Source organism: Homo sapiens, chromosome 21 (assembly GCF_000001405.40).
Source record: "Homo sapiens chromosome 21, GRCh38.p14 Primary Assembly".
NCBI lineage: Eukaryota > Metazoa > Chordata > Mammalia > Primates > Hominidae > Homo > Homo sapiens.
In genome coordinates, this window is record NC_000021.9 from 34,575,818 (window position 1) to 34,603,488 (window position 27,671).

The 27,671-nt window shown below is 44.0% G+C and overlaps 1 protein-coding gene across 3 annotated transcripts in view, besides 2 other annotated features; it reads right to left on the minus strand.

The window, feature by feature from the left end:
• The window catches only part of RCAN1 (regulator of calcineurin 1), a 98,672-nt gene that overhangs the window by 59,376 nt on the left and 11,625 nt on the right, over positions 1 to 27,671 (minus strand). The gene's annotated exons all lie outside the window — the stretch shown is intronic.
• Positions 6,301 to 6,801: an enhancer, noted in NCBI's record as "H3K4me1 hESC enhancer chr21:35954416-35954916 (GRCh37/hg19 assembly coordinates)". NCBI's record gives its function as "activates a minimal SCP1, AML or CMV promoter by ChIP-STARR-seq in primed H9 embryonic stem cells {active_cell/tissue: H9 hESC(primed)}" and the evidence as "EXISTENCE:reporter gene assay evidence [ECO:0000049][PMID:30033119]".
• Positions 6,802 to 7,302: an enhancer, noted in NCBI's record as "H3K4me1 hESC enhancer chr21:35954917-35955417 (GRCh37/hg19 assembly coordinates)". NCBI's record gives its function as "activates a minimal SCP1, AML or CMV promoter by ChIP-STARR-seq in primed H9 embryonic stem cells {active_cell/tissue: H9 hESC(primed)}" and the evidence as "EXISTENCE:reporter gene assay evidence [ECO:0000049][PMID:30033119]".

The following is a 27,671-nucleotide window of genomic DNA, read 5'->3' on the forward strand; positions in this document are numbered from 1 at the left end:
GCGGTGTGTTAAGGGACCACTAGTGACCCCAAAAGGTGTCATTTAATCCTCAGGACAGCCCTGAGGTAGGCATTATTTTACAAATGAGGAAATAAACTCAAAGAATTTGGACAGGCCCAACTTAGGTCTGTCTAGCACTAGAGTCTGGGTTCCTTCCATCACACTGCATGGGATCCTTAACTCTGAGTGAGCCAGGGTCCTGTGGAATTCTCCAAAACTGCTGTGCCCTATAATATGGTGACTGGAGGGGAAGAAATGCAGGAAAGCTTGTGGAAAATTTTTATTCATACCCAACAGCTCAACAATGTAGTTTACCTTAGATGATCCCTAAGGAACCACCCAGTGACATCATTCTCTGATTCCATAATTGTCCAACAAGTTCCTCCTTCTATTTCCCAATAAAAGCACAGGGTTTTGCATTACCTTTGTCAGATAAGTGCAATAAACAAGTCACAGAGCTCTGCAGGTTCGTACCTGCACCACCCCTCTCTGGAGGCTGTGTCCTCTACCCGAGCTGTTCTTTTCTGGCAATAAGAGTTGGGGCCCCTCCAACGGCAGGGATCTGGACAGCTTCCAGAGGAACCCAGGACAAGAGAAAAAGAGCCCCAGGGACACTGTCCAACTCGGACACAAACCCAAGTGTGGGGTGGGTGGCTGTGACACGTTCCAGGCTTGATGGTATTTTTCCCTTTACTTTAAATCAGTCTTTGATTGTCTTGTGTGCACACAGGAAGAATGATGAATATTAAAAATAAAACGCAAATCAGCCAGCAAGTAGTCTTTAGAAGAAATAAGTCACAGGAGGTTGAAAACAATGTACTAGCACTGGAGAAGTCTGAACATTTTGGTCAATGTCTGTGAATGTTTCAAAGTTTAAACTGGATGGAGTTTACTGAGACTCTAATCACCGCTCAGCAAGAAATCTATGCTAATCACATCAATATTATAACACAAACAAGCAGGTGGAAGAAAATCCAAAGATAGCTAATGGATAATACTTTGTCTTTGGTTCAATTATAGGACTTGGTTTCTAAAGGAGCTGCTAACTCATTCATTCACTCATCAAACATGTATTGATCACATATAACATGGCAATGACTGTGCTAGGAGCTGGCAATACTAAAATTGTTTCTTCATTCCAGAACATCAGAGATTAGTTGGGAACAGAGTCACCCTCTACTGAGAAAAGGCCATCAGAAGGCCGGCAGGGGTCAGCTCCATGGAGAAGAGGTCTGGGGCATCCCAGGCGGAGGCAACTGCAGTTTCCATCCTACGGTGCCCTGTGTCCTGGGAACCTCAGGTAGTTGAGCACCACTGCACTAATGAGCTGAGTGAGGGAGAAGCAAGAGCTGAGACACAACAGGGTCCAAATGAGAGGCCTTATTCACAAAGTAAGGATTTTGAACATTACCTTATGAACAACAGATAAGTACTGAAGAGTATCTAGAAACAGGATAGTGAGATGATGACATACATAGGTTTTTAGAAAAATCGCTTGGGCCAGTCATGGTGGCACGTGCCTATAATCCCAGCACTTTGAGAGGTGGAGGTGGGTGGATCCTTTGAGCCCAGGAGTTTGAGATCAGCCTGGGCAACATGGTGAAACCCTGTCTCTACAAAAAAATACAAAAATTGGTCAGGCATGGTGGTGTGCGCCTGTAGTCCCAGCTACTTGGGAGGCTGAGGTGGGAGGATCACTTGAGTCCAGGTGGTAGAGGCTACAGTGAGCTGTGATCATGCCACTGCATTCCAGCCTGAGTGACAGAGCCAGACCCTGTCTCAAAAACAAACAAACAAACAAACAAAAGATCACTCAGGGAGCACTAGAGGGCCACTGAAGAGTGCCGGAGAGGAATCAGAATACCAGGTAGGAGCTGCTGCGTACTCCAGGCAGGAGTGTTACATGAAAGTGACTGAACCAAGGCAGTTATCCTGAGCACGGGAGAGTGGAAGCAGGCTGAAACATCACTGCTTAGGTGTGAAATCTATAAAACCTTTGGCTAATATGTAGGAGTGAGAGGGAAGGTGCCAACAATATCTCCCCACTTTCTAGCACAAACAGTGGAGTGGATGGGAGAGGACAAAAGAGGGGCAGCAAGTTCAGGAACAGATCAAGGCTCAGCTTCGGACACAGTGTGAAAAGTCTGCGGCATGACCGAGGGGACAGCCTGCTGGAAAGTCAGACAGCCAGGTCTGGAGCCCTGCAGAGGGGTGTGGACTGTCAGCCCACTGACTATTAGAAGTACAGGGACCAATAAGATGAGGAAACTGAGGGCACCAAGGTCACACAGTCCAGAGGACAACCAGCATGAAGGCCACATGCAAAAACACAAAAGAGCAAGAGGTGCGTTAGGGAATGTAAGATCTTATATTCTCCTTGACCCTCGTATCTCTGAGAGCTTACCTTATGATTCTTCTCCCCTCACCTGCAAATATATAGCTTGAGTAGCAGATGAGGCAGGACATCATAACGCCCTCCATATTAAATGAGTTCCGTGAATAGACAGGATCCAGAAAATAAACCCATCTGTTTGATGCAGAACTAAGAACATTAGATTGAGAAACTTGAGGTCTCCTGCTGTAAGCAGCCATCAGCCAGCATCAGCCAGATCCCCTAGGAATCTGCATCAGAACAAACTACCTATTCTTATCATCTCTCCACTGGGCCTGGTCATCTGTGAGCAGGGTTCCCAGGCAGGTGATTGTCACAGGGCGGCAGATCAGAACAGACAGACTAGTTCCAGACCAGGGTCAATTCCTGGTGTCTGCTCTGGTCTTGGTGGCCCCACTCTGGGCCCTGGGGGAATGGACCTGCCCAGGGAGGAAGAGAGGCTTTGCAGATGGCCCTTTGCTAAGGGCTCTGGAAGAATCTCCTGAACTTTGTGGGTTCTCTAAGACACCCGCCCTGACAAGAGTGCCTTTCCAAGAGTGCAGGGCATGTTACCAAGTGTTACCAGAAGTGGTCTCGGTTGCTCTAAATACAGCGCCCAACAGAGTGGGTCCTCCTGGCCACTCGGTTGGGCTGTGGTCACACCATGCCTGGGAAGAGCGTAGCTGGGTTTCCCATCCCGACTCCAACAGTGACAGATTTGTGTGACTCCAGGCAAGGTCATCTACCCTTTGGGCCCCTGGTTCCTCACCTGAATAACAACACATACAACAAACAGACAAACAAAAACAAGCCAACAAAAAAAAGGACTTGCATCCAGTGATTCTCAAATGTGGGGTCCCTCAAAGGTTTTTAGGCCAGTTGTTTAGGAACTGCTTGGAAGAGTTGTTAAAAATGCGATGTTATGGCCGGGCGCGGTGGCTCATGCCTGTAATCCTAGCACCTTGGGAGGCTGAGGTGGGCAGATCACTTGAGCTCAGGAGTATGAGACCAACCTGGGCAACATGGCAAAACCTAGTTTCTACCAAAAATACAAAAAATTAGCCAGGTACGGTGGTGCATGCCTGTAGTCCCAGCTACTTGGGAGGCTGGAGGCTGGGGTGAGAAGATCACTTGGGCCTGGTAGGCAGAGGCTGCAGTGAGCTGAGATTGCGCCACTGCACTCCAGCCTGGGTGACACAGCGAGAGTCCCACCCCCCAAAAATGCAATGTTAAAGATAAAGGGTCCAGATCTTTGACCCCAGGCCTTGGGTAGCACCAGGGCATCTGAATTTTTAATAAGCTCTATAGGTGATTCTGATAAACAGCTAGATTTGGGACCCACTGGACTAAATGATTACTAAGCTGCCTTCCATCTCTAGCAATGTATGACTCAATGCATGTATGTGACAAATGTTCATGACCAATTCAACAACCAGGTCCCAAAACCTAACCTAGTACAGTTGCATCACTCAGACATTACTTATGCTTGCTAATGAATCACTCTTAGGCTTTATAGAAAATAGAGTAAAATGAATTATTCGAGAGTCTCAAAATAGACCCCAGTCTCCCATTTCCTTCAAATTACATTTTCTAAAACTGAAACACAGTACCAGCCACAACCCAGTCCTCAGAAGAGGAGAGCGACAGGTTGGCAGGTCCAGAGCCATGAGCCAGGCCACTGGTTTGCAGTTGTGACCTTGAGCAGAAGAATATTTTTTTCTTTAAAATTGCCTTTCCACTCTGTAAAATAGAAATAACCACTGCTAACCTATCTCCTAGGGCTGCTGAGAATCCACAGGGAAATTACTATCCGTCTGATTCTCCCACTAACACCCGGTGTCAGAGAACAGAGGGGAAAGTGTCACAGTGCATTACTTTCAGACCCACCGTGTCTGCACAAATATTTCAATGGTTCAAAATAAAAAAGAGCCCAACCAAGGATTCCCAGTGAGAATGGAAGAGGCCCTGTTTGATTTACTTTCCTGGGAAGTCAAGCCCAGCTTTAGAGCATCAGGAACCATCTTATCTACCCCCGGGTATGCTAGAGACAGAGGCCGGCCTGCACAGCCTGGTCAGCAGTTGCAACTTTCTTTAGCTAAACCTGCTGGCATTCAGGCCTGATAGTAGGCAGGGTCAGCGCAAATGGAAAGAATGACAGTGTGTCCTTCCACCTTCCTGAGGCCCTGGCTGATATGGAAACTGGCTGGCACGGGTGGCCATGGAAAGTATGAATCCAGGCTTGCCTAGGGTTGAATGAGTGAGGAATGATCAGATCAGGCCTGTGTTAAAATATCACCACAGCTCACTTGCCCGGCTATTATCCAGTCACGTCCTCCGGGTTTCAGGAATGAGATGCTGCAACCCGAAGCAGCTGGAGACAGTGTTTGCAAAAGCAGGCCAGGCAGGCTCCTTGGAGCTGAAGCTGGGTGGAGAGATGGGTGTGGTGACTGCCTGCACAGACAGACACCTGTGAAGGGCTGACTTGGCTCCCGGATGCTTTCTCTACAGTTCCTCACCTTTGTGCATGGCTCACCATGATCTCCGCCCCACTCTATAGATGAAGGAATCCTTCCTAGAGAGGTCAAGTGTCTGGCTGGTGCTTGCACGAAGAAGGGACCCAAATCCAGGACCCTGTGATATCCCTCCTGGCCTTGCAAACTTTCTAGCACCTGGCTGTCTCGTGCACCTACGTATGCACATGGATGCTGTAAATCAAGGCAAAGCACAGGCAGGCAGGCAACACAGGGGAGGTCTATGGAAAAGGAGGGGTGAGAAGGAAGAAGAGAGTTTTAGGCCAAAAGCTCAAAAATGTTCTTTAGACAAGCACTAGGAGAACCACCCAGAAGTCACGAGTCGGGAGTTCTAAGTCCTTGTGGAGATGGACCCACCGTTGTCTCAGAGATGCCTTAGTCTCTACAGGGAAAACCACTGAAAATGCCTTCTAGACTGGAAAGTCTAAATAACTAAAATGTTTTCACTTCTCTAATAACTTTTTTTTTTAAGGTCTTAGAATGGAAAGATCCCTATTCCAACGTCCCAACCAAATCAAGATGCTGTTTCTAGGGTCCAATCCCTATTCCAACATCCCAGCCAAATCAAGACGCTGTTTGTAGGGTCCAAACTGCCTCTGCTTAGGCAGTTCTCAGACTGGGTAGAGAAAGGAAGACTACAAGTTAAGGAGTATTCAAAAACAAAACAAAATGAGTATCTCAGAGAGCTGAAAAATGAATTGCTGTTGCCCCCAAAGACCCTTTCAGTCTGAGGAAGTATTATTCATGCCCCTCTGCCCTCATACCTGAAAAGCCCCCTCAAATCAAAGATGAGGAATAAGAGGAAGAAGAAGGAGGAGGAGGAAACAGAATAAATCCCCTGCTCCACGTCTCTGGTTATGGCAGTCAAGCAAGCCTAAAAGAAAAACAGCCATCATTCCCAGGGTCAATGCCAGTGTATATGAGGAAAAAAAATCACTAAAAATGTAAAGCCTCCATTGCCTACAGGCCCTAAAAATATTACACACTATCAGGGCACTTTGCATGAAAGTTTTAATACCGTTATTCATGAAAAAAATCTTTGAAAAAAAGGCAGCCCAGGAAGTGGCTGGCCTACATGTGGACCAAAAGGCAGGCTGAGAAGCGTGTCTCCCACGGGCTCTACAGTACTCTTGCAAAGCAACTGCCTCTCCATTTAGGTCGCAGAATTGGGGACTAGCCTTGTTAGTGACCTCCCAACTCTAAATTTGCTATCAAAATGCCAACAGGGCCGATCTCTTTCAAGCCAGACGAGTCATCTACCCTTGTGGGTAGCTTCTCAACTCATCATCCAAGGCAAGGTGTATTCTGGGCACGAGGTAGGGGAAGATGCAAGTTTCTCCCGGGGGTTGCTTTGGACCTAAAGAGGGGTCTATGCTCATTACCAAAGGCAGTCTGCCCAGCATAACCTTTGACACCACGGACTCACTTGAGCCACAGAATGTCATTTATCAATTTAATACATATTCATGAAGCAAGTGCTATTCTTAGGTACTAAGAACTTCCAAGCTCCTAAGGTACTGGGCACCTAGTGGTAAATGAGACAAAAGCCTTCGTGAAGCTGACGTTCTAGCAAACACAGACAACAGGCAATTATATACCCTGATGTTGGGGAGTGACCAGTGCTATGAAGACACTTTGAGGACAGATGGTCTGGGGTGGGGGGAATGGTGCGCTCGCTTAGCTAGGGGCTCGGGAAGACATTTCTGAGGAAGGAGCATCTGGGCAGCGACCTGGGAGGAGTGAGGGAGTAAGCCATGTGGGTATCTGGGGGAAGAACCTTCCGGGAATTCCAGGCTTTGAGGAAGGGACCACACTTGGCACATGGGAGCAGTAGCAGCAAGGCCAGAGTAGCCCAGCTGTGGTATTGGAGACGCGAGGAGGAGCTGAATCTGGAGAGGGCAGAGCGGGCCACGTCCTCACATGCCCAGGCAAGCATCTGGAGCCCGCGCTAAATGTGCTCAGAGGACTCAGAGCAAGAGAGTGGCCAGGTTTGATTCATGTTTTCAAAACACCACTGGCTGCTCCATTGAGAGGCAGAGCTCCAGAGTGACAAGAGGGAAGCAAGAATGGGGAGGCTTCCGCGATAACACAGGCAGGGGAGGACACTGGTTTAGACAGGGGTGAGAGAGGGAGGGTAAAAAGCAGAGGAGCCCAGAACATCATCTGAAGAGGCACCCAGGACTGGCTGCTGGGTTGGCTGTGCGGTGTGGAGATGGAGGCTGATGCCATTCTAAAGAGTGTCAGAGAGAGAGAGAGAGCCTCTTGCTGGTTGTTTTAGGAACAACAGTGTTGGCTAATAAATTCCTGCAGACACTCTGAATATAACTGAGAGAGCTCAGCTGGCTCTAACAGCATTATGGACTGAACTATGTTCATGTCCTTCACTCCCCACAAGTTTATGTGTTGAAGCCCTAACCATCAGTACCGTAGAACTGGACTACACAGTTGGCGATAGGGCCTTTTTTTTTTTTTTTTTTTGAGACAGTTTCACTCTTGTCGCCCAGGCTAGAGTGCAGTGGTGCAATCTCAGCTCACTGCAACCTCTGCCTCCTGGGTTCAGCGATTCTCCTTCCTCAGCCTCCCAAGTAGCTGGGATTACAGTTAGGTGCCACCATGCCTGGCTAATTTTGTATTTTTAGTAGAGACAGGGTTTCACCATGTTGGTCAGGCTGGTCTCAAACGCCTGGCCTCAGGTGATCCACCCACCTCAGCTGGAGATAGGGCCTTTAAAGAGGCAATTAAGTTAAAATGAGGTCATGAGGGTGGGGCCCCAATCTAATCTGATCGGTGTCTTTGTAAGAGGAGAGAATGTGGACACATAAAGGGACACTAGGCATGTGCGTGCACAGAGGGAAGACCATGTGAGGACACAGGGAGAAGGCAGCCGTCTACAAGCCAAGGAGAGAGGCCTCAGGAGGAGCCAAAGCTGCCGGCACCATGATCTCGGACTTCCAGCCTCCAGAACTGTGAGAGAAAAAAGGTCTGTCGTTTAAGCCCCCAATCTGTGGTATTATGTTAGAGCTGCCCTAGCACACTGATAGAGATAGCCTCAATTTTGCTTTGAATTGCTATGAGTTGACAAAGTTAACCACAAGTTAGAGACCCCATGACCATATCAGCCACTGCAGAGACCTGAAGGCTGACCACTGAAAAAACTACACCCTCCTATATCACACACACACACATACACACACACACAATTTATTATTACACACACATACACACATATTTGTTATTGATTATAATCATAAAGTCTAACTATGAGTTTCTGTTTACTCCCAATTAACTTGGAACAACTTTTCTTTGAGCCTCCTCCTGAATGGAATAAGGGAATGGTTGTTCCTGCTCCTACTTGGATTCCTGAAGATAGGACTGGCCAAGGACAGCCTGGAACAATCACAGCCTGCTGCTGTCATCGTGCAACAATTTGTTGCCTGTATTCTAGACGCAGAAAAATCTCACAGCTTATTTCAAGTAATCTCTATTAATATCCCTCCCTGGCCCTCAAAAGATATTAAGAATCCAAAGGGAAATCAGAAACTCAATTGTGCTAGAAATAGCCAAACTGTCTCATTCAGAATGCATTCACCAAACAACTTCAAAGCAAAATGATGATGAAAAATAAGCCTTCCAACACCAGAGTATTTCTCTTTTTGAATGTTTCTACCACATCTAAGAAAACAGATGTCACCATGGTTAAAAAAAAAATTGTACCTTGCAAAAATAAAACTTCATAATGATAGTTCGTTCTTGTGAATAAATCCTCAAATACATCCCTCTTGCAAAAAAGGTTTTCTCTTACTGACCACTCTTCTTCCATCACTGACTGCAGTGGAAAATTACATTCCACTGTGAAATATAATCCTGTTGATAGTAACACCTATTGAGGTTTTCATCAAATTGCTAGATGAGATGGTGTAATTAGGGACAGCCAGGGGGAAAACTACAAAGGACACAGAGGACGTCAGTCCAAAGGAGGTAAAAACTGAAAAGATAATACCTTCCTCAAACCATTGCAGAAGCGTGTACCTGCTTGCCTGGTGACAAAGTCTTTTTGAAAATCAACCTGTACCCATAATTCTGCTTTCTGACTTTCACCAGAGGATTCATAAGAGCATCCTGAATCCAAATAACAAAATTAAATATACACTAACCACCCGTCCTTAATCGCTTCATGTAAATCTGTGGCATTAGAAACTGAAAACAAAAATTATCTGAGGGTCATGTTTTGCTATGCATTTAATGGATATTACTTCTGCCTGCTCCAAGGGCAATGTTCAGTTTCCACAAACAGTGTAGTTTATTATGAAAAATAATTTATAAATCATTCTTGTTTAAAACAAAATTTTTTTAGGAGAATTAGTAACAGAATTTCAAAAAAGTTGAATAATTTCTAAAGATTAAGATTTCAACTTCACTCTTTTAATGTATTTAAGGTAATAATCACTTACTTTGGTGATTATTTATAACATTAACAGCTCTAAGAGGCCTTTAAGGGCCATTTTGTTATACAAAAAAGAAACACATTTATAAGCATTCTTAGAATAATGCTAATGTCATTAGCTACAGAAGCAGCACATGCTAAGATATCAGCTTTAATTTTAAATTCATATTAGACCTTAATAAAATAAGTCAAGGATGCATTTTGTAATATCTAGAATAACCACTAAAAGAACAGTAATGTCTAACAGGCAAGTTAGTAGAGGGGGAAAATGAAACAATTTTTAAAAATACATAATTCAGGCCAGGCGCAGTGGCTCACACCTGTAATCCCAGCACTTTCGGAGGCCGAGGTGGGCGGATCACAAGGTCAGGAGATCAAGACCATCCTGGCTAACACGGTGAAATCCCGTCTCCACTAAAAACACAAAAAATTAGCCGGGCATGGTGGCGGGCACCTGTAGTCCCAGCTACTCGGGAGGCTGAGGCAGGAGAATGGTGTGAACCCAGGAGGCGGAGCTTGCAGTGAGCCGAGATTGTGCCACTGCACTCCAGCCTGGGTGACAGAGCGAGACTCCATCTCAAAAAAAAAAAAAAAAAAAAAACATAATTCAAAGGAAGATAAGAAAGAAAAGGAATATAGAACAAGTAGAACAAACAGAAAACAAACAGTAAGATGACAGGAAATAGAAGGATGGAAAAATGTGCTATAAAAATACTAACCAAACAAGAGCTGGCACATCATGCAAAATAGACTTTAAGACAAGAAGCATTACTAGCAAAAAAGATGGACATTTAATAATAAAAAAGGGTCAATTTGCCAGGCTGATACAACAATCCTAAATCTGTATATATCCAATAATATAGCCTCAAATCTATATGAAGGAAAAGCTAGCAGGACAAAAAGGAGAAATCAGCAAATCCAAATCATGGTGGGAAATTTTAACACACTTCTCTCAGCCACTGATAAGAATAGACGAAATTCAGTAAGGCCATAGATGACATAAACAATACGAATAACAAACTTAACCCAACTGTCTATATACGTTGTTGTTACATGACTGCATCTATATATGTTGTTGTTAAGAAGGCATATTTTTTCAAGTGCACATGAAACACTTATCAAAACCGACTTACTGTTGAGCTACAAAGCAAGTCTGAAAAAATGTCAAAGGACTGAGAGTGTTTTCTGATCACATAATGGAATTACTCTAGGAATCAATAACATTAAAAAAAAAACCCCAAATGTTTATGAACAAAGTGATACATTTCTAAACAATCTACAGATCAATGAAGAAATTATACTGGAAATCAGAAAATATCCTGAATTGGAAAATAATAAGGATATGACATATCAAAACTTGTAAGATGCAGCAAAAGCCATACTTAGAGGTAAATTTCTAGTCTTATGTGAATATATGGGATAAGAAGACTAAAAATTAATGATTTACATATTGATCTTAAAAAGCAAGAAAACAGAACAAGAGATTAAAGAAAGTAGAAGGAGAAAAGGACAGGCGCAGTGGCTCACACCTGTAACCCCAGCACTTTGGGAGGCCGAGATGGGTGGATCACTTAAGATCAGGAGTTCATGACCAGCCTGGCCAACATGGCGAAACCCTGTCTCTACTAAAAATACAAAAAATTAGCCAGGCATGGTGGCAGGCTCCTGTATTCCAAGCTACTTGGGAGGCTGAGGCAGGAGAATTGCTTGAACCCAGGAGACAGAGGTTGCAGTGAGTTGAGATCGCACCATTGCACTCCAGCCTGAGCAACAAGAGTGAAACTCCGTTTAAAAAAATAAAAAAAAAAGTAGAAGAAAAAAAGTGGAAAACACTGAAACAGAAAACAAAAAAACAGAAATTAAGTCAAATGTTGACTTTTCAAAATATTAATACATTTAATAAACCTCTGACAGGACTGATGAAGAAAAGAGCACAAATTGTCACTACCAGGATTGAAAAAGGAAACATAACTACAGGTCCTACAGATATTAGAAAGCCTATATAAATATTATGCCAATATATTTAAGATTTTAAGTAAAATGGACTACTTCCTAGAAAAATACAACTTACAAAAATGACAGAAGAGAAAATCAATTGGTTCTATATCTATTTATAAAACTGAATATTTAATTAAAAACATTCTCAAAAGAAAACTCTACACCCAGATATCTTTATCAGTGAAATCTCCCAAACACTTAAGAAATAATATGAATCCTACATCAACTCTTCAATACAGGAAACAAAAGGAGGGGCCCTTTCTACTTATTTTATGCTTTTAGCATAACCTTGATCCTGAAACCTGAGAAAAATATTATAAAAAAGAAAAGTGATCAGCCTATATCTTTCATGAACATAAACATAAAATTACAAAATGAAAATAATAGTAAAACAAAGCCAGAGTCATAAAAAAGAATACTGTACTATAACCAAGGAAAAGTGAATATATATATGTTAAAATACATGTAGGAGATTGTTACTGCAGCATTATCATAATACTCCCAACTGGAAAAGTCAAATGGAAATGTGATATATTCACACCACAGAATAGAAACAACAATAAAAGTGAACTACTATGACATGTATAATGGTTAATTTTATGTGTGAACTTGGCTGGGCCATGGTGCCCAGATACCAGATATATGGACAAACATTATTCTGGATGTTTCTGTGCAGGTGTTTTGAGATGCGATTAACATTTAGATTAGTGAACTCTGAGTAAAGTATATTGGCAGGGAGCTCATCCAATCAGTTAAAGGCCTTAACGGAACAAAAAGACTAGCCTACCCCAAGAAAGAAGGAATCTGCAGCAGAAATCCTTTACACTTGAACTGTAACATCAGTTCATTCCTGGGTCTCCAGCCTGTCAACCCACCCTGGAGATTTTGGACTTGCCAGTCACTATAATTGTATGAGCCAATTTCTTAAAACAAACTTTTCCCTATATACATATACATCCTATTGGTTCTATTTCTCTGGAGAACGCTGTAGTCAATAAGCATTTCATAAACATAATGTTGAACAAAAGAAACAAGACACAAATGATGAAAAACATGCTTCCACTTATATAAAGTTCCAGACAAGCAAAACTCCTCTATGGTGATGGAGGTCAGCATGGTGGGTAACTTGGTGGGCCATGGTGGTGACTGGTGAGTAATAGCTGGGGAGGGACATGAAGGATGCTTCCAGGTGTGCTGGCATTGTTCTATTTCTTGACCTGATATGGGTGTGTTTATTTTGTAAAATTTCAGCAAGGTTTTGATTTGTGTATTTTTCTGTATGTATGTTATACTTCAATTAGAAAAGTATAGCTTTTTATTGATTATACCTCATAGCCATTAGGATGGCTAGTATCAAAAACAGAAAATAACAAGAGTTGGCAAGGAGGTAGAGAAATCAGAACTGTTGTGCACTATTGATGAAAATGTAAAATGGTGTAGCCACTGTGCAGAACGGAATGGCAGCTCCTCAAAAAATTGAAAATAGAATTACCACATGATCCAGCAATTCCACCTCTGTGTATGTATCTAAAAGAATTGAAAGCAGGGTCCTGACGAGATATGCTCAATCATGTCCACAGCAGCATCCTTCAAAATAGCCAAGATGGCAGCAACCCCAGTGTAGATCAATGGGAAAATGAATAAACAAAATGTAGTCCATCCATACAGTAGAATATTATTCAACCTTAAAAAGGAAGGAAATTTTGAAACATGTACAATATAGATGAACCTTCAGGACATTATGCTAAGTGAGGTAAGCCAGTCATGAAAAAACAAATACTTAGAAACCTAAAGTAGTCAAATTCATAGACACAGAAAGTAGAATGGTGGTTGCCAGGGGCTGAGGGAAGAGAAAATGGGGAGTTGATGTTTGACGGATACAGAGTTTCAGTTGTACAAGATGAAAAGTGTTCTGGAGATGTGCTACACAACAATGTGAATATATTTAATATTTAATACCTCTGAACTGTACATGTAAAGATGGTAAATTTTAAGTTATGTGCATTTTACCACAATTTTTAAAAGTTTAGTAAAGAAAAAAATCAAAGCATAATAAAGATTGTATTCATACTTTGGATCATACAAAGGATCAAGAAGAACATATTTAATTGTAGATCCATTAAATGGGGTCTCCCACTGCTTTTCATTAGGCTTCAGTTGTGAAAAAGCTTTGTGGATAGCAAAGTGCTAAAACTGGAAGGCTTTTTAAACTCTGATCTTACTACTATCTTTACAGGATTGGTAATTAAAGTTTTAAGAAGGAGATATAGGTAAAGGATGCTAATTTTCCTGGAAAAGGACATGATCGTTGAAAAAATAAGAGAAGATTTAGAGCAGTTCAGAAGATGTGGTGGTTAATTGCGTGTGTCAAACTGGCCCCGGTGTGTGCAGACTGAGCATTATCTCTGGAAGTACCTGTGCGGGTGTTTCTGGATGAGATCAGCATTTGAATTGGTGGACTCTACAAGGTAGACTGCCCTTCCCAATGTGGGTGGGCATCATCTAATCTGCTGGGGGCCTGAAGAGAACAAAAGGCAGGAGAACAAAAGGGGGGAGTCTGCCCCCTTTTCCTGCCCGCCTGCCTGAGCTGGGACAGCTCATCTCATCTTCTCCCACCCTCGGGCTGGGATTTATACCACCAGCTGCCGTGGTTCTCAGGCCTTTGGACTAGCCAGTCTCAAGTCTCCAGCCTGCAGATGGCAGACTGTGGGACTTCTCAGCCTCCATAATTATGTAAGCCACATCCTCATGATAAATTTCTTTATATATCTATATACACATCTACCGCTATGTCTATCCTATTGGTTCTGTTTCCCTGGAGAACCCTGATTGATGCAGAAGACTACTGAATATTCTTCAATACCCATTTCCCTTTGATCATTACCTTCTGTTCACACTGGCTTCCTGTGTTAGCACACCACAGTCTGTCTGCCAGAGGCCCTTGTGCCAACCATTTCCTCTGCCTGGACCTTACCAGAGAGGTCCAGACCACCCCCTTCTGAGCTGAGTTTAAAAATCATATCCTCAGAGCGGCCCTCCAGGGCCCCATCAGCACCTCCCATTATTGTTTACCACAGCCCCCATGTGCTTAATTCCAGCAGCAATCGCAATCTAATAAACTAAAAAAATAGTATCTGTCTCTCCCATGAAAATGTGCACTCCACGAGAGCAAAGATATTGCTTTGTTTTCCCCTGGGTCCAGGTACATTGCCAGAACAATTCAATAAATATTTGTTGAATGAACAAATGAATACATAAATGAATATATAATGAGCACACCTCATAGGATACTAACTTTATTACTCTGATCTAGAAGGTAATAAGAACTGGAGACCTACAGGCAAAAAAACTGTCCTGAATTTCCTTTCTACACTGCATCTCCTGAAGTGAGTGTTTTCTCCACATTATCCTGACATATATTTTTTCATCCTCCTCCCATCCCAGCACCTGCTCAGCACCTGGTGCCCTTACTGGGTCTGACATTCCAGGATGCTGTGCTTTTTTTACACAGCATTTCCCCCTGCTGGGGCCAGGGACTGAGAAAGGCTGATCTGTCAGATCCTTGATGGCCCCTGAGTGCAGGGCTTCAGGATGAGATTACAAGAGGACTAGAAGACAGGCTTCCTATATCTGAGAAGCGTGGAATCTCATGGATACACACAGCTATGTCATAGTTGAAATATTAAGTTTATCTACAGAATTATAGCTGTATATTGGAGTGCTCTGAATACTTGATTTGGATGGTCTAGAAATCCTGGGGCACAGCAATATTTTATGTCTTCATCTGGGAGGTCCTAAGAAGGGTTTGCTTATGGAATAAAAGCCCTTATGATCCGTGCACAGCGAGGCCTCTGTAGTGTTCTGAAGAAGAAACCTGACAGGACACACAAAAATTATTTTCCTCGTGGAGGGCATGGAATCAAGACAGATCCCCGATCCAGTCCTCACTCCCTGAACACTGCCCAGCTTATGCTAAATACGTATTTATGCACCTACTATATACCAGGCACAGTTCTAGGAGCTGATAATGTAGCCGTGAACAAAATGAAACCCCTGCCCACATGCTGTCCACATTCTGATAGGAAAAGATGGACAATCTGTAATCAGTACAACACAGTGTGCCCTCTGGACATAAGGGAGGGGCACAGAGAAAAAAACAAAGTAGGCTGAGGACAGAAGAGCAGGGGATGGGGTCAGGTAGCCAGGGACAGTTTCCTGCAAAGTGAGGAGCCAAGACCTAACCAAGGTGAGCCATGGCTTTCTGGGTGAAAACTGCTCCAGGAGAAGGCAAGCATGGGCCCTGGGGGGGAACACGATGTATTCAAACAGCACGGTGGCAGATGGGAAGGGTCCAACCAGCCACGCTAGGGACACCTTCTATCCTGTGGGACATGAGAAACCCTGGAGGATCAGAATAAAGTGGAGGAAAATTAAAGCTGAGCTTTGAGTGCAACTATTTTAAGACTAAATAGAGCTCACATTAAGTCTCTTAAACTGCCACTGGGTTCTAATTCGATGATTAAATTTATCTAGATAAAGGACTCTGAGATTCTCGCATGGTGGATCCATATGTTGCGCTAATACGTAAATGTCCATTATTTTACACAGGTCCAGGGAACCTGGCCATCATCTCGATGCACCAATTCTCCCTGCCCCACCCAAATTAGAATGTAGGTGGTCACATAGCAAACTACAACATGACCGGGATTTCAGCTCTAAAAAGTGCCATCAAGACGTGTTCCCCAACTTGACTGTGGCAGTCATTTCTTGGTATCCACCACTGCAGATCACATGCACACCTCAAATACATGCAGTTCAATTTGTCAGTCATGCCTTAAGAAAGCTGGGGGGAAAGGTGCCACCAAATGAAATAAAGAAGCGTTCCCCTCCCTTGCACCCTGCCAGCATTTCAGATCTGTCTTATCAAAACTCCCTGTGCTTGGGCTTAGACAGACGAAAGAAAAATGATGGGGAGCCAGAAAACCTGAGAAAACTACGCAAGTGCACTCCAGTGTCTGAATTTCCATTCTGGAAAGGAACGGGCAGCGCTCAGCCTCACAGCCCACCTGGGCACCTGGCATCAAGGCCACCCTCTGCCCTGGTCTGCGTGCAATGCCATGCTGGGCTCAGACACACTCCTGGAACAGCACAGCTCTCATGAGTCCCTGATAATGGCGTCCGCCACACGCCCACACCCTTTTGGCACTGTCTTCTGACTGACTGGGCTAAAAAAAGCTTCGATAAACCCCAAGGATCAGGGCTGGGCTGCTGTTCTTCTGAACATAAACACTGGTCAGGAGGTGATTACAGTTCAAGCAGAGGGGAGCAAAGTCCCATTTTCCCAGCACTAGGATTAGATGGCAAAGTAATATCATGGGCAGTTTTTACCCTCACAAATCCCTGACCTCCTTCCCTGAGGCCCCCTTCCCGGAGCCGTCTACATGCCTGCCTTTACTCTACGCCGGGACTCCAGTCTATAAGAGGATAATCATTTATGAATAAACCCATGATGATTTACGTTCCCCTCAAACGTGAACAGAACCCAATCATCTGTTTCTTGTGTTTTCCGATTCCAAGAAAAAACATTTCTTGGCTGAGGCTGTCTTGTTTCTGGCCAGATTTTCCTATATGATGTCTATGTTCTCTCGTGATTAACTCAGAGATATCAATCTACAACTACAGGAAAACCTCAATGGCTTTACTTAATTGGAGCACCAGGAGGACATGGTAAAGGACCACAGTGCTGGTTCTTCTAAGCGCATGTGGGAACTGAAGGAAAGAGGATGGGGAGCTGGACTCTGGGTACCCATGAGGGCTTCAGTACAGAAGACCCATGAGGACAGTGGTTATGTGTCAATGCAGTGCAGTATTAAAAATTACTATTTGCCTGCCTTTGCTCTGACATGAGTTAAATCCTTCTCATCTAGATTACAATAACATTTGACCCTGAGTTTATATAGACTAGGATCTTTTATGATGTTCCCAATCTTGCTTTAGTTATGGAGAAGCTCATTATAAAATAGTCTTACAGGAAAAACCTGATCACAGAGGGGAACACTATAGTGAAGCACCAATACTTTTCATCAAAAATGTTCAAGTATTGGCAATTTCATGTGTTTCAACATAATACTACTAGCCCTCACCCAACCACAGGTTACAGAGTGCCTGGAGCTGCTAGAATAGGCACAACTGTTCTCACCATATGCAAGGCTCATCCTCCTCCAACCTTCTCAATACATCATTACCAATTATCAAATCATTACATCTTTATGAAAAAGACTTGGCTTATATGACACAGGCAGAAGTGCCACCCTTTCACAACATTATGAAACGATGCCAAATAAGGCTAGCACACCTGCCACCTTTTGCATTTACTGAAGAGCTCTTATGCATGGACCCACTTGGCCTGTCTCTTAGTCACAGAAGGGGGCATGGGGCAGCCTGGCTCGGAACACCTGTGCCTGCTGATAGCAGACGTGCCAGCCTGCCAGAGACTGAGAAGCTGGACCTCAAGGTGTTGGGAGGTCGGGCTGAGGCTGTGGCTGCTGGGCCAGCTGATGCATGGGGAAAGGATATGCATGGTTTCCGGAGTAGGAAAAAGGTTTAGGAAATAAACAAGTGGAAAAATATCTGGAAAATGGAACCAGGTACAGTCCCTGCCCTCAAAGAGCAGGTGCTCAGTCTAAAGAAGTGGTCTATGCCTGGGTGCCCACTGCTCCAGACAGACTTAGAAATTCTATAATACGTGTAAGAAAAAAATCGTTAGTTTCCACTTGTTTTTTATTCTGGGGCTGGAGGCGTGGGGCATGGATTCTTACCCTCTTATTTAGCAGTATAGGCAAGTCATTATTTTCAGAGTTGTTGCAAAACAGAAAGGGGACAAAAATGTTACATGATGATGGATTATATTAGAGGAGTTCCTGTCGTGACCCTTGAGTTAGAAAGCAGATCTGCGTAAAATAAACAATCTGAGAGCTGAATGGGCAAAGGATATGAACAGTCAATTCACAGGAGGAAACAGAACCAGTAAACAAGCACATGGAAATATGTAATAATCTGTAGTCAGGGACATAGCTGAAAAAAATGAGAATGTTTCACAAAAGAAGGGTGGGCCGGGCGCGGTGGCTCATGCCTGTAATCCCAGCACTCTGGGAGGCCGAAGTGGGTGGATCACGGGGTCAAGAGATTGAGACCATCCTGGCCAACATGGTGAAACCCCACCTCTACTAAAAATACAAGCATTAGCTGGGTGTGGTAGCACATGCCTGTACTCCCAGTTACTCCAGAGGTTGGGACAGGAGAATCGCTTGAACCCAGGAGGCGGAGGTTGCATTGAGCCAAGATCGCGCCACTGCACTCCAGCCTGGCAACAGAGGGAGACTCCATCTCAAAACAAGAACAACAACAACAACAAAACGAAGGGTGGCAAGGTACCCATTTAGGGGACCCTCAGGCCCCTAAGTCAGTTACTTGCATTTGACAGTCGTAATGTGAGGAGCACTGAATAAGGCACAGTCCAGGTGCTCAGAAATAACAATGACCAATGGGCCAGGTGCACAGCAGAGATCAGTGTTAGGAGTCAGACCTGCAGGTGTTGCATCGGAATCCCAAGCAGGCACTGGCCCCCATACAAACTCGCCAGGCCTCCGTGTCTTCACTGTAAAATGGAATCGTAACAAGCGCATACCTCACAGGGATCCTGGGTGGCAAACGAAATGGGGGACCAGGGTGGACAGGCAGCATGGGTAGTGGTTAAGAATGCTAACTCTGGAATAAGATGGCCTGGGTTCAAACCTTGCCCCCTCCTCCAACTTAGCTGTGCAACATGGGCAAGTTACTTCACCTCCAGATGCCTCAGTGACTCCATCCATAAAATGGGGACAGTCATAGTATCTGCTTCACAGGGTTTATGTGAGGATGAAATGCATTCACACTTCTAGGCAGTGCCATACTTACAGCAGCACCTGGCACTGGACAAACACTATGGAAAACAGTGCCTGACACAGAACAAATGCACTAAGAGCATTTCCTTACACACACACCTGGAAACCACTTGCTCTAGTAACTGGCACAGAGTGGGTGTGGCATAAATGGTGGGAGAAATTCATCATAGCCTCTTCCCATCTGGGGGTGTGCTGAGATGCTGGAAAAGAGGGTCATCAAAAAAGGAGGAAAAATCCCTTAGCTCTTAAGCCCTAAGAAAGTGCTTCACAGCTTTTCCTTGACCATGAAAAATACAGAAGCAACACCCGCAGAAAGAATAGAATCCTAGTAATTTTGTGTTCTGAATCAAGCTAAGTTTGACCTTTGAGCAAATTACTGGCTCTCTGCTAAGAGTGTACAGACCCATCTATTCATCATAGACTTCACTGTCTGGGAATGAGCCCCGGAGCCCAGGCTCTGCAGGTTGTTGCTGTTACGTAAGCCAGTGCAGGAGCCGTGCTGAGAAAAGGAAACTGCGCAATCTGCTCAGGTTCCCAGGAAGGCCAGGGTCCTTGTCCCACCTGAGGAGCTGACTTCTCAACTGGCAGCAGATTCAGGCATGCACACTGCCTTCGCCGGCCACTGGAAGGGCACTGCTCCCAACACCCACTCACACGCTGCCTGGATGGCTCTGATGGGGGCCACTGGGCAGGCCGGACAGGCTGCCTCAAGGAGCTGGGGACCTGTGGTGTCAGACAAGCTGACCACCCCCCGGCAGGGGTGGGACATACGTGTGAAAAGGGGAGTCTGGGGGTCCCCCACACAGTCCATCTACGCAGATGCAGGCCAAGCTCCCCAGATAAGCCTGCCTCAAGGATTCTGGCCGAGGAGCAGAGGGGGCCCTTCCTGGAGGTCACCTGCCCTTGAAGCAGGTAGAGAAGACATCTTAGTGTGGATCAGTGCTGACATCTGTGGAGAGTGGACTCTCGGCACTTTCTGTCTGTGGACTCACGTCCCCATCCCCGGAGCCCTGTGAGGTGGCTATTATGAGCCCCATCCTACAAGTGGGCAAACTGAAGCACCCATGTCCATGCTACCAGGGAGCAGCAGTGCCAGGAAGAAGCTCAAGTGCCCGGCCTTCTTAACCTCTAAGCTCCAACAGGTGACCTCCAGTATAAGCGGAGGCCTTCCTGCCCTCCAGAAAAAGCCGAGAGTCTCTGTAGCGTGGTTCCCTCCTGCTTCTTTTGAATGAACGACTGGGAGGGAAGGCTGAGGAGACCCACAGGGGCCCAGGGACTGATGCAGGGAACCCCCTCACTGGGGAAAGAGAGAAAGAGTTGGCTAAAGTAGAAAAAACTCGAAGTGCAAGCAGGGCTGTGGCTCCTGCATGACCGAGAAAGCCTCCTTGCCCACTGGAGCCTCAGCTGAGGGCCTTCTCGAAGGCTCTGCTTTCTATATTCTCTCCACTCCCTGACCACGGCAGGCTGGGTTCTCGTAAGGTTTAGAGCCGTCTCAGGGACAGGAGCAACCCCCGCTGCCATGCAGAAGATGCAGAAAGTCTTCTTTTAGAAGCACTGGAAAATACATTCGAACCGGGATGGGCATTTCCTGATGATGTTGGAACACCAACACAGTACCTCAGGGTGCTTTCCACCTCGACAAAGGGCCGAGGACTTTGCCTCCCTGCCTTTATCTTGCGAGAACCTTTGCACTGTGGAGTGAAGGAGCTCGGCTGAAAACTCAACAACTGCACAGCCCTTGGCTGGACCCACACTAGGGAAGGTGTCTGCGAGGCTCGGGCCTGCTCACTGTGCTGTGCGTTGGTCTGCACACACTGGGACTTCGGTGATAACTTACAGAAGGGAAATGGGAGGGGAGGAGTAAAGAAGGGGTTGGACAGTGACACCAGCTTGAGACAGAGAGTAAGAATCCTGGGCTCCCAGTCTCAGTTTCGTCATGAACTTGCTGTGTGATGTGGGCCCAATCTCAGCATCTCTGGGCACAATGAGTGGCCACCAGGGCCTTTCTAGCATTCATATCTTACCCTTCCATGAATGAGCGAGGAACCCGTGCAGCCCAGTTCTGCAGCTACCAGCCACATGGGGCTATGTCAATGAAAATTAGCAAAAGTAAACACTCCTCGGTAGTACTAGCTACATTTTAAGTGCTCAATAACATGACAATTTAAATGAAAATTAATTAAAATGAAAAAAATTAAAAGTTCAGTTCCTCAGTCATGTCCACCACATTTCAAGCACTCAGTGGCCACAAGTGGCCAGTGGTTACTGCAGTGGACAGTGCGGATACAGGACACTCCCACCACCCTAGGGAGTCCTCCACAGGGCAGCATCGAGAGTGTGCAGATGGAGATGTGGCTCACAGAACGTTCGGGAAGCTGCTTCTTTAAAGAAGAATTGTGTGTCAGCTTGGAGCCTATGTAAAAGTAATGAAAGAAAGCTAGATGTGTCTGTTGGGGTAACTAGGTCTGTAACAGGGAAAGTCATCAAGATACCTGAAGGTGAGATAAAATACCATATTGCCACACCCAAGCTATGGTCAGTGGTGAAAGACTAGCGTGTTTCCATAAGATGAGAATACCCATCTGCTGCCTCTATAATGTTGAAATACAATTTGAAGTATTATAAACAAGATGGAAAAATCATCATTATTTGCAGGTGATACGATTTTATACCTAGAAAATGCAAAAGAATCAACTATTAGAAATAGTCAAAGGCTTTAGCACAGGTGGTTGGTTACAAAATTAATACACAGAAACAATAATCTTCTCTATATAGAGGTAAAAATAAGTGTAATTTAAAAATCCCATTTTTAAATAATTTCTTAAATTTACATAAAAATGTTCATATTGAAGAATCTAAAACATAAATACAAATTAAAGAAATAGATAGGGTCTATATAAAGAAAACTTCCACCCTGTACTGAGTAGAGAAAAGATGGCTTACATAAGTAGAATAACACCACAGGAACCTAGGATGTAAAGACGTCAACTCTCCCTAAGTAACTATAAACCCAAAGCAATCTCACTCAAAATATTAACAGGTTTGGATGTTCCATTTTCGTTTTCATTCTTGTAAGGGAGTAGAGGACAGTTTGAAAGTAACAGTATACTTCTAGAGTTCCCAAAGAAGAAGCAGCAAATGATACTAGCCAGGAAAACAAATACTGGAAAAAAAGAATAGGACAATTCACTGTATTAATTGTTAAATCACGCTAAAATGTAAGATCACAGTCATGAAAACAGTAGTATGAAACTGGCTTAGAAATGAACAAAAAGATCAAGAGAAGAATCCTGATAGAAGAGCATATTTGATCATTTAGGTGGTATTTCAAATCTTCAAAGAAAGAGCACTGCTTAGCAAACAACATTGGAACATCCCACAGGTAACATGCAAACGAGAAAACCAGAAATCTAACTCACTCCTCATACCAGAATGTCCAGTGAATTAAAAGCAAACATCAACAACAAAAATGTACAAGTTCTAGAAGAAAACCTACTCCTATACATCTTGGCCTAGGTATGAAACAACCTCAGGAGAAAGGAAGGCAAAATTTCTGCATCTGAACTACAAATAAAAATAATACAAAATTCTATGGAGTAAAAACACCATAAAATCAAATGGCAAACTGGAGAAAATATCTGTAATATGTGCAGTAAGGTACTAATTTCCTTAATAAGCAAATAACTTACATATTCCTAAGTACAGACGATAAACTCACCAGAAAAGTAGCGCAAGATATACACAATCAGTTTATAGAGGAAAAAAAGCAACAACTGACTAATAAGCATATGGAAGGGTCAGCTTTGTTCCTAATTAAGGAAAAGCAAATTCAAACAAGATGATACTATTTTACGTCTATCAGAGATCCTGGCAATGATTCAAAATGATTTCTAATCCCCAGTACTGGTGAGAATGTGGGCAGAGAGGAACTCATGCGATGCTGGGGGTAATACATCAGTATAAACAGTTTGCAGAGCAAACTGACAGTATCTATTAAAACGTAAAGTAACCATACCTCCTGGCTCAGAAATTCCACTTCTAGCAATGTATCTTACAAATACATTTACATAAGGAAACAAAGAATGCTATTTGCAACATTATTTATAATAGGGAAAAAAACCTGGCAACAACCTAAATGACAATCAATAGGAATAGCTGGTTGAGTTGTGTTATGTTCTAATCATGAATCATCAGGGAGTCATCAAAAGAAGTGCATTAAATTAGCTGGGTGTGGTGGCAGGTGGCTGTAATCCCAGTTGCTCAGGAGGCTGAGGCAGGAGAATCATTTGAACCCGGGAGGTGGAGGTTGCAGTGAGCCGAGATCACGCCACTGCACTCCAGCCTGGGCGACAGAGTGAGACTGTTTCAGAAAAAAGAAATACATTGAGTCTACTGACAAGATATCCACAACATGTTAAAAAGCCAAGTAGCAAAATATAGTATGCAATCTAATACTACGTAATGTAAACATGCAGATGGTACCTATTTAAGTGTATTTATCTTTCCAAACACACCACATATGTTTATACATGTGTGTGAAAGGGTATACATACACTCAACAGAGGCTATCCCTAAAGAAGGGTTGAGAGAAGATGGGATACCAACTATTACTTTGATAGTTAATTACGCCTCTGTGATTTGAGGCGTAATTAACAAAGTGATAGTTGGTCATAAAAAAATCATCTAACGAATGTGACAATCTATAGTTGGTGCCTACTATCAGCAAACGGTACTTACTATGAGTCATGCTCTTCATGCATTTCTCCCCAGTGCCATTAAATAGCCTCATGGGCAGCATGACCAATAGGTGTAGACCTATTGCAACTGGTGGGTAACTTTTTGCTTAAGTCAGCTTGTAATGGCTGTGTTGTGTTCTCTGGCTAGAAGGGTAGATAAGGGATAAGTTACCCTGAACCTAAAGCACGAGAACTGGCCCCAACAACCAAGAGTCCAGATCACGCTATGCTAAAGCCCCTCACTCCAATCTTCAGTCCCCTGGTACCTCCCTATGACACAGGTGGCTCACAGAACCATCACTGGGGACAGACTGCTGGGTGGCATGCTGCTGCAGGGCTAAGAATCGCGTTTTTAAAGGTTAGTTCATTTAATTAAAAGCACAGCAGGGTGCTGCCTACTTTCATTAAGAAAGGTCATCTTCCCCAGCATATTCTAATGGAAACCAGGGCAGCATTCAGAGATAGGAACCATCACAAGTTGATTTTGCTCTCTTAAGGTAAGATACGGCAAAGAATGACCAGCCACCTCCTAGCAGGGTGCTGAGGCTGGCTGGTGCAGTAGGTGGAGATTTAGCAGATGACAATGTATTTCTGAAAAGGTCTGTTTTTCCTCTAAAAGGCATTCTAGGAACCAGAGAGAGAAGGGAGAAAGGAGGGGAAGGGGAAGATCAGGAGAGAGGGAGGGAAAGGAAAGGAGGCGAGGAGACAGGAGAAAAACCTCACCACCAAGCATTAGCATTTATTTCTCAATTGCAATATTTTTATTTTAAGTTGTGCTAAGAAGCCTAGGATTTCTTTCTTCAATAATAATGATTTTTATGCTTTATAGTTCATGAGGCTTTCATATTCATTATGTTGAGATTTATTTTCAAAAAAGTGTTTAGAGTCTTAAGTTGTTTGCAACTTTGTAGCAAAGCTCATTTCACATTAAAACATCCTTTTAGCAAAGTCTCAACATACTATAGTGAAATTAATACAGGTTTTTCTAAGCATTTATAAGTGTTAATAAGCCATGCCAGTCTGCTGGCATAGCATATATGGTGCTGCGGTATTCTGAATATTCAGTATCTAAATCTGTTCATTTCATACACACATGCACGTGTGTTCACAAACACACATGCATGCAGGCACACACCACTGCAAAATTTTTAAGCTGCAGGACCCCCTGGCCTGAAAAAATGCACACAGCTTCTGAAAGTGCCTAAGTTACTCATGGGAAAATAAAGCTTATTATTTAATGGACTTAACAATATTTTCTTGTTCATGATGATGTTTTACTTCCACTGATACACAAATATTTATTAAGTGCCTACTATGTGGCAGGCACTGTCCCAGGAACAGGTTAAGCAGCTGCAAGCAATGTAGACACTGTAATTTCTGCATTTTAATAAAATTGCTAACTCATACTAAATACTTACTATGAGCCTGATATTATTGTAAGCCCTCTATTTGTATTATGTCTTTTCATCCTCACAACACAACCCCAGGAGGTAGGAGCTTTTATAATCCCACTTGATAAACCAGGAGACCTAAGTGCAGAGAAGTTAAGTTACTTGCCCAAGGTCACACAGCTGGTTACTGGCAGAACTGGGATTTGAATCCAGACCAACCCTCCTTACTGCTGTACATTGATGTAGTTTAACAAGAACAACTCTAAACTAAGGTGGGTGTCCATCTATAAAGAAGGTGAATGCTAGGCTGGGCACGGTGGCTCACACCTGTAATCCCAGCACTTTGGGAGGCCAAGGTGGGCGGATCACGAGGTCAGGAGATCGAGATCATCTTGGCTAACACGGTGAAACCCCATCTCTACTAAAAATACAAAAAATTAGCCAGGCGTGGTGGTGGGCGCCTGTAGTCCCAGCTACTTGGGAGGCTGAGGCAGGAGAATGGCGTGAACCTGGGAGGCGGAGCTTGCAGTGAGCCGAGATCGTGCCACTGCACTCCAGCCTGGGCAACAGAGTGAGACTCTGTCTCAAAAAAAAAAAAAAAAAAAAGAAGGTGAATGCTGTCCACATTCAGGATTCAGAGATAACAGTGATCACATGTGTAGGTATAGACACCTTCACACTCACTGCACTCTCAGCTGAGCCATGAAAATTACTAAGATTAATAAGCAGCAACAAAACCTGCACCTAAAGAAAATAGATGCACAGAAAAATAAGCAAAAAATTAAACATTGACCTAATATAAAACTGGTAACAACATATTCATTGACATTAAAACAAGATCCTTCATAAAGACTAAATAAATATTTTCTGAGTATCTCCTGTCCTTGATACGATCACAAACGTTACCATGCTACATGCAATTCTCACAGCATCCTAGTAAGCCACCATCTAGACCTCTTTACAGACACAAAGCTGAAGATGCTCAGAATCTCAGGCACAGCCCCGAAGGCAGCCAGCTGGGTCCACTTCATTCCAAGCCACAAATGCAACACAGAATGCTCTGTGCTGCCTCTGCATAACCACCCCTTTCACTAAATGCAGGAAGTCACCCCCACAACCAACAAGCTCTATACCCGCACCCCATTTCACCCTGTGTCTAGTTTGAAAGATACATCTTGAATTTAGCTATTCTAGAAAGAGATACCAATACAAATGAACCCTGAATCACTTTCCAAACACCTGCAGGTGTTTCCAGGCAGTTCATGAACTGTAACACAGTGAATTTTTCTGAAGGGTGGTCTGTTTTGAGGGGCTGCACAGCAGTTTTACTGATTGCGGACCAGACCACCTGAGATCTACAGGTTGGGATGCATGTGAGGGAAGCTGTACAAATTCCCCAGAATCGTGACTCCAGCCCAGAACACTGTCACTACTTGACTAGAGTGGTGGTAATTCTGGAATCATCCGGGTGACCTGCCTACCAGCAAAAGCTTTTCCTTCTTAATCTACTGAGTAACCTAATACCTGAAGCCAGCTCAGAAAATTCCCATTATCTCTGAAATAAAATGTTTTCATCTGAGTTCTCTCTCTGTATTTCTTTATGCTGATATTTTCATATTTCATATTCTTTTCATAATAATGCTGATAATTTCAGTCATCTTCAGGAGGAGGGTCATTCCTTTCAAAAGTCTCCCCTTCAGGTGAGCACGTTCCCCTATTTGTATTCTAAACAAAGCGGGCAGCATCTCCCAGCAGCAGGGAATAGGTCCACTCAGGAAGCGGCTTTCTCACCTGCACAGTTTCTGCTGGAGGGAGAGGGGTGTCTCTCCACTTGAAAGGTTCAATTACACACTTATCTTTATAATAATAGCTTCTCTGCAGCACAAGGCATGACTTCTCCCTTCTGAAAGTGCACTTTGCCTTTGATGCCTGAAATAAAGTGTAAGTCAACCAGCAAGCTCCACTGCAGCACACACATGAAGTTACTGCCCCCCGGCGGCGACCGCTGGTCTTTGAACAGCATTGGACAGGCCCTCGGTGCAAAGCTCTCCGGCCCCTCCACAAGCTGGAGACTGCTTCTCCCTACCTGCGGCCTGGGGACAGCCTTCCCTGGCAATATTACCGGGTTCCAGCTGGCTTGGACTCCCGAAGTCCCCCGGTTTGTATGCTCCGGGTTCTTTTGGATGGCGCTGGGAAAGGGGAGAACATTATTCGTTGGAGAATTAAGTGGGCAGAGTAAAACCAGCAGGCTGCAAGA